Source organism: Homo sapiens, chromosome 11 (assembly GCF_000001405.40).
Source record: "Homo sapiens chromosome 11, GRCh38.p14 Primary Assembly".
Taxonomy (NCBI): Eukaryota; Metazoa; Chordata; class Mammalia; order Primates; family Hominidae; genus Homo; species Homo sapiens.
The window spans coordinates 125,832,839-125,840,792 of NC_000011.10; the positions used below are offsets into that span (position 1 = coordinate 125,832,839).

A 7,954-nucleotide genomic window follows, 5' to 3' on the forward strand; every position below is an offset into this window, starting at 1 on the left:
GGAGGGGACAATCAAACCGTAACAATCACACACACACACACACGCAGACACATAGAGAAAAAAGGGTGAGTAGCGACTGTAGTCCCAGCTACACTGGAGGTTGAAGCAGGAGGATCGTGTAAACCAAAAAGTTTGAGGCTGCAATGAGCCCCTGCACTCCAGCCTGGGCAACAGAGTGAGACCCTGTCTCTTAAAAAAAAAAAGTGAGGAGAAGACAGATATGGGGCAGGGAAGGCAGAGGGAGGATGGAGAGTCAGGGGTGGAAATCTAATTCAACTTTAGCCAGAAGCATTCCCTGACACTGCTCACCAGCCTGCACTTTCCACATTAGTACAGATTTATGGCTCCTTAAGAGAAGGGAGTGGGGAAAGGACGGTTCTGCCTCATGCCTTTATCAGGGACTCCTCCCTCCTTTCTATTTACTGGCTGTGATCGAACATCTAAGCTTTATAAAGCAAGCTAGTGGCTGCCCTTTCCAATACCTCACTCAGCACACCGTCTGTCACCCAAACAAGCATCCAATGAGGAAAATGAACACACTGCTCCTTGTGAGCTTATCTTTTCTCTACCTCAAAGAGGGTAAGTTTGAACAATGGGGGTGGAGGGAGGCAACTTAGGGGTGCTGTTCTCTAAACCTCTACTCTCCAAGTCTCACTCACATGCTCCAGCTGAGACCCAAAGACTCAGTACAATCTGAGTTTCAGGATGTCAGAGAGATCATATATAACACACTAATCCGGAAGAAAATGTACTACTGATTGCAGGGAAACAGGACAATTTTCCAACTTCATATTAATTGACTTTTCATCCATACTTATCTCATTTTGGACCCTTTCTTTCTTAATATACTTTTCTCCTTTATTATCTCCTACACTCTCCTAGTTTTCCTTTCCTCTGGCTACTTCTCAGTGTATTTTGTAGGATTCTTTATTCTACCTGATCATTAAACACTGGGATACCTTAAGGCTTTATACTATCCACTCAGACCCTCCTCTATATCAACTTACCCACTTCCATGGCTTCAATTACAATCTATATGCTGAAAATGCCCAGTTTTATATCCTAGCCAGATTTCTATTCTGAGCTTCAGTCTTTCATCAACAAACACCTCCTACACTTGGAAGTCACCCTTGAAATCTCCCTCTCCCTTAACACTCACTAAAAATTAGTGAATGATTCCTATGCTTTCTACCTATTAAATGTGCTTCAAATATGATTATATTTCTACCTTATATTTCTATTTTGCTACCTTTTGACACTTAGTAAGAAATAATAAACCATAAAAGAATTATAAGAAAATGTGACATAATTTGTTTGTAAGCTTAGAAATGAGAAAGACCTTTCTAACTATGACTCAAAATCCAGAGCTCTTAAAAGAAAAACTGACAAATTTGACACATGAATATCAAAATATTCCTCATGGCAAAAATTAAAAATGCAACTCACATCAAACAAATGGCTAATATCCCTGATATGTAATGCCTCCTTTAAAAAAATCAAAAAGGAAAAGGCCAACAACCTAATAGAAAAATGGGCAAAGTATGTAGATAGTTCACACAAAAGAAAATGAAAATGGCTATTAAACATATAAAAAGTGCTCAATCTCACTCATACTAAGAAAAATGCAAATTAAAAGAACACTGATACACCATTTTTGACCTATCAGATTGTCAACATCCAGGAGTTTGATAAAATATTTGAGTATTAAAGTTGTGGTGAGACAAGAATTTTCCAAGCATTGATAGCAACAGAATAGTTACATCTCCTCTGGTGGGCAATTCAGCAATACCTATCAAAATTACAAAAGTGTTTACTTTTTATCCAGCAATTCTGCTTGCATGAAATTATCTTATAGATATACTCCCACACAAATGAAATATGTTCAGCATTATTTATTGCAGCAGATAATATCAAAAAGTGCAAATAACTTAAATTCTCATAAGAGACTGGTTAATTAAAGCATGGTACAGCACTACAGTGGAATACTATACACTTAGTATACATTATTCAAAAAATCAAAGTGCAGAGTATGCATAGTATACTACCAATTATGAAAAGGGGGTAAAAAGATACATGTGCATATTTATATTTGCTTGAATATACTGAAAATCAATCTAAAAGATATAAAAGAAATGAATAAAACTGGTTTCCTTTATTTGGCAGATGAAAACTGGATAACTAGCTGGCAAGAGTGGGAGATCAACTTTACACAACATTCTTTTTCTATTACTTACTATTTAGTCACATCAATGTATTACCTATTTTTAAATAATGCATTTTTAGAATGTTGAAATTGGAAATACTCAGGTTAAAGATCAAAGAGACAATTATTCGAAGAGCATTATCAGTGTACTGCGCAGCCTGCTCCCAACTCCTCTGAAAGAGAGAAGCCTCATGAAAGTTGCTTCAGGGAGAAATTGATAGTGTCCTCTGGTGTTTGGAAGGCACAGTGAGCTTGAGGAACCCAAAGGTGCGAGGGAGCCGGAGGGTACAGCCCTGAAATGGTGGAACTGAAAGACAGCTGAGTTGCATTACATACAAGCAGGGAGGATGTGCATACATTCCCCTGGATCTGATCTGGGCCATGCCATATCAAGCAAGTCAGGCTTGAGCTGTTTAAAGTTCTATCCAAGAGCGCTGTCTGGAGGAAAAAGGTATTCTAGCAAGGTGTGGGCCACTACCTTCTTACAGCTGAGAGAAAATATAACCACCAGCTGCAGGAAATACACCACTCACGATACAGCAGTGGACTTGAATATTTTTTGTGGGGGAAATCCTGAAGAACCCGCAAATGTTCTCCTGACTCAAGGAACTCAAGAAAATGAGTTCTCCTGGCTCAAGAAAATGAGTCAGCTTTCATTAAATACAAAGTCCAAGAGATTGGGTTTTAAGTAACTACCATAGACAAAAGATGACGGCACCAGAGCCAGTCCGATGACATCTTTCCTGTCCTTTACCTGTCCCCCTCCTTCTCACCAACTGAAATGGGTCAGAAACTATCACTCATAAGCCAGAGGTGAGTAGGAGGAAACCAAGAAGAGAAATAGAGAAAAAGTTAAAGCCACCCCCTCCTGCCCATTACAAACACCTAAGCAAGCCTGAGCTATGTGTCTGTGCATACGTGTGTGTGGGTGGGTGGGTGTGCATGGGCATGCATACAGGGAGAGCGGGTTGTTGGTGAGAAACGTGGGCTTTTAATAGAGCTATTTTATTATTATTGCATGGCACTCAATGCATAAATTACTGAACCCAGATTATTCTTATGCCCGAAAGTGATGGCAAGACTTTTTTTTTTTTTTTTCTAAAAGTACATAGACAAGTTAGGAGCCTTGCCTGAAATTACCTGCAGGACTAGGAGAACTAGCTTTAGAAAGAATACTCAGATGGGTAGTGGGCAGAAGAATAAAATTATTTTCTGTTTGCCCCTTTTAAGTCCCACGTTGACCTGCTAGATAAATGTAAATAGGATCAGATCACTTCCTTGCTTAAAATTTTTCGATAAATTCCCATTGCTCATGGATCAAAAACCATACTCATGTCTTTGGCCTAGGAGGGCTCAGGAAGTTGAATCTCTGCTCACCTGACCAGCCATGTCTCATAGCACAACCCACTCCATTCTGTGCCCCGGTTACATTAGCATTTTTGTCCCTCAGCAGACAAGCTTCTTTTCACTGCTGTTCCCTCTGCCTGAAATGTTCTTCACTGTGCCCATACCACACCACCCACTTACCTGGCTGACTCTTATTTATCATCAGGCCCCACCTTACATCCCACTCCCCACAGAAACCTTCCTTGGCTCTCTAAAATACGTTAGTTCTTCCCTCTTAAATGCTCTCATTGCAAGTTTATTTCTTGATATTATAATACAACTGTACATAATTTGGAGGGGTTGTTTAATGCCTGTCTCCCCAGCATGTATATAAACACGTTTATCTTTGCATTCCCAGCACCTAAAAAAATGTCCAGAATGTGGAACATGCTCAAAACCCAGCAACTAACATCATCCTTTCCCTCTAAATAAGAGGAAAAGAGAAGGATGTTCACTCTCACCACTTCAATTCAACATTGCTGAGTGAACGAAAAAATGAATAAACTTTAGGGTTATGCAAAGGCAATTGGATTTATCATTAAGAGGTCGTTAGCAACAAGATAGTCTTGATGGAATAGTGAGAATGGAATTTAGAATGAAGAGATGCCACAAGACCATTCCCAAAATTGGACATAAATCAATAGCACTCAAGTCCTCCTGGGCTCCATATAAATTCGGATTCTATAACCTTGGAACGTCTGAGATGAAGATTGAAATAATCTACTTTCCCCATCATCACCATCACTTAGTCCTTAAATCTAAATTACCCATAGGCTCCAATGTCGTCTCCCTACCCTAAATCTCCTCTCCTCTTACCTCCTGGTCACAGGGACTCCCAAATCACCTCTCTGTCTGCCTGGTTGCAGTTATTCCCTGAAAAAAGAGAAAGGCCAGACCAAGCCAGATGGAGCTATCAGAGGGTGTAATCTCAGACAGTCCACTCTAAACATGCCGTTTTCATTCCTACCTCTGTGTTCTCCCTCACTATGACTACCTATCTGGAACACCTTCTCTGCCCATCCCCTGCCCCCACCTCCCCAAGTTTAACCTACATCTCAAGAGCCAGCTCAAGTCTTTAGCTAAAGTATTCCCCTGCTTTTCCAGCCCACAGTAATCTGCCTGTTGCTATACTCTTAATTGGCATCACAGGGTTTATCTGGTTGACTATATATTATCTTTGCTGTTCTTTTATTATTTCACATGTTTATCTTGCCTTCAAATATAAATGGACCCTATTCAGGTCACAGAGACTGTGTCTTATCTTTTTTATCCACCTCCTAGCTTAACTTACAAAGCTAAATTAATCAGGAATTCCACAAATACCAGCTAATGGAGTGAGTGGACAGTATCGTCAATATGCAACCTCTTACTGATGCTGAAAACTCACTTTTCCATTGTCCCACAATCCAGCCTGAATATTCTATTCTCTCCACCCTGCAGTTATGGGTCTGAAGTGTAATACCTGCATATACACAGAAGGATGGAAGTGTATGGCAGGCCGAGGCACTTGCATTGCAAAAGAAAATGAGTTATGTTCAACAACAGCCTATTTCAGGGGTAAGTGGGGCTCATGAAGACTCCAAAATTGCCTGCAAAGAACCATCACTCTTGCTAGTGCCTGGAATAAAGAACTCGATATCATTTAGCTCTGCTAGGAGGTAAGGCAAGGAATAAAAGAGGGGGCAAGAAGGGATAATTTCCAACTTCACACTGTAGGGTTTAGTATCCAGAGCCAGTTACGGTGGCGATTGGGAACATGAACCCAGGAGCCGGGAAGGAGACCCAGTGTTAAGTGCTATTCCTCTTGGTGGTGAGTTTTAGTAAGTCACTAGTAAGGCAATCTCCTCCAGCATTTATAACAGGCTTCTTCATTTTCAGGAGACAAACATATGTACTCAACACATATGTGTAAGTATAAGTGCCGGGAAGAGGAGTCCTCCAAAAGAGGCCTGTTGAGAGTGACACTGTGCTGTGACAGAAACTTCTGTAATGTCTTCTAATGGAGCTTAGGAACTTGCAGAGGATCATCTGATCAAGATCCAGAATCAAGACCAACCAACATGAACTGTTTTATTTCCCACACCAAATTCCACACTGGCCTAAGATCCCAGAGAGAGCTGCAGGGGCTGTCCTCATTGCAATGAAGGGGCTCCCCACACCCCACCTCCACCACTAGATTCCTAAAATCATGAGCATTGAAACAAAATCCTCCATGAGCTATGCTTATTCTTTTGTCTTCTACTCCTGATTTCTGATTTCTATCCCTTGTAGGCTAAATAATGGACCCCCAAATATTTCTACATCCTAATCTCTGGAACCTGTGAATGTTACCTTACATGGCAAAAGGGACTTTGAAAATGTGATTAAGGATCTTGAGAAGGGGAGGTTATCTTGCATTATCTGGGGGGGCCCTAAGTGGAATCAAAATGCAAAATGCAATAAGATGCAAGTAAAGGGAGATATGACAAAGAAGAGGAAAAGATGATGTGATAATGGAAGCAGAGATTGGAGCCATGTGCTTTGAAGATGGAGGAATAGGCCATAAGCTAAAACTAGGAGGCCACTAGAAGCTGAAAAAGTCAAGGAAATAGGTTCTCCCCTCAGAGCCTCCAGAAACCAGCCCTGCTGACACCTTGATTTAAGCCCTGTAAGACTCATTTTGGATGTCTGGCCTCCAGAACTCTAAGCGGGTGTGGTTTTCAGCCACAAAGTGTGTATTGTTTTAAGCCACTAAGTTTGCAATAATTTATTATAGCAGCAATGGGAAACTAATACAATCCAAATAAACTTCTAGGAATTCAAATCATTGGTAAGCCTGAGTACCCAGGGGCCAGTCTAGGTGACAACAGTATCCACCGCTCAGGGCTTACAGTGACCTGCAGGAAGAGAGGAATAACAGAGCACATGCTATGAATAAATGTGGAGATCAATTTGTGGATTTTAAACTTCATGACATGCTGCAGATAATCCTTTAGGTGTATCTGTGGTAAATGGTGCCTTGCTATGTTCTGAAGCAATCAAACATGATGTCCTAATAGCTCAATTTATCAGTTCCTCATTAGCTTGTGTACTCACTGAAATTCTTTTAGCAGTTAATGTCCTTGTATTAGTCTGTTTTCATGCTGCTGATAAGGACATACCCACGACTGGGCAATTTACGAAAGAAAGGGGTTTATCGGACTTACAGTTCCACGTGGCTGGGGAAGCCTCACAATCATGGCAGAAGGTAAAAGGCATGTCTCACATAGTGACAGACAAGAGAAGAGAGATTGTGCAGGAAAACTCTCCCTTATAATAACCATCAGATCTTGTGAGACTTACTCACTATCACGAGAATAGCACAGGAAAAACCTGCCCCCATGATTCAATTACCTCCCACCGGTCCCTCCCACAACACGTGGGAATTGAAGATGAAATTTGGGTGGGGACACAGCCAAACCATATCAGTCCCCTTCTTAAAACTCTCCTCTCTAGCTCCTATGACTGTACATTTGTAGTTCTCCCACCTCTCTGAAGAATCCTCTGTGAGGGTCTCTGGGGACTTTGTTTTGATTTGTTATTGTTTTTATATTCAGTCTTTAACCTATGTGAAGCCACCTTTGTAATACTGCCTTAAGTAAAGATCCAGTATTATTTTTCTCCATAGAATGAGTCAGATTTTTTAACACCATTGACTACAAAGTCTATCCTTTCTCCGTTCACTTGTGATACAATTTTTATCTTAATTATAAAGGAAAAAATCACTGTTTTCTCTACTATACTGTCTCACACACAACACTTCTGACACGAAATATGTGGGGTTTTCCACACCAACAAATTAACCAATCACCCAGTGCACACTGATTGAGTGCTCTAAAATTTAACTCAATTCTGACACTAATTGTCCAGAGTTAATTCAGACCCCACAGACAAAGGGCTCGGTCCCACAAACTGCCCCCCAACTGCAGATGCCAATCACAAATTGTGGGTCCTCAGGTTATGCACAACTTAGGTCCAAACTGGAAATTCCCACATTCCCCTCCTCAAGTGCAATAATTTGCTAGAACAGCTCACAAAACTGAGGAGATAATTTACGATTACAGATTTATTGCAGAGGATATATTAAAGGATACAGATGCACAGCCAGATGAAGGGGTACATAGGGCAAGGTCTGGAAGGGTCCTGAGCACAGAAGCTTCTGTCCTTGTGGAGTTTGGAATGCACCACCCTTCCAGCACACAGATGTGTTCTTGTTCATCATGCAGTAGCTCCAAAAACCCTTTTAATTAGTAATTTTTAATGGCGGTTTCATTGCATAGACATGATTGATTATTAATAAATGATTGGCCACTGGTGATTAATTCAGCCTCCAGTCCTCCCTTCTCC

The 7,954-nt window shown here is 40.9% G+C and overlaps 1 protein-coding gene across 1 annotated transcript; it reads left to right on the plus strand.

The window, feature by feature from the left end:
- The first annotated feature begins 477 nt into the window (after window positions 1-477).
- PATE4 (prostate and testis expressed 4) lies at window positions 478-7,234 on the plus strand. Its single transcript, NM_001144874.1, has 3 exons — window positions 478-579; window positions 5,030-5,146; window positions 5,468-7,234. The coding sequence occupies exons 1-3, from the start codon at window positions 522-524 to the stop codon at window positions 5,587-5,589; spliced, it is 297 nt and encodes a 98-aa protein (NP_001138346.1). The 5' UTR covers window positions 478-521; the 3' UTR covers window positions 5,590-7,234.
- Window positions 7,235-7,954: the final 720 nt, after the last annotated feature.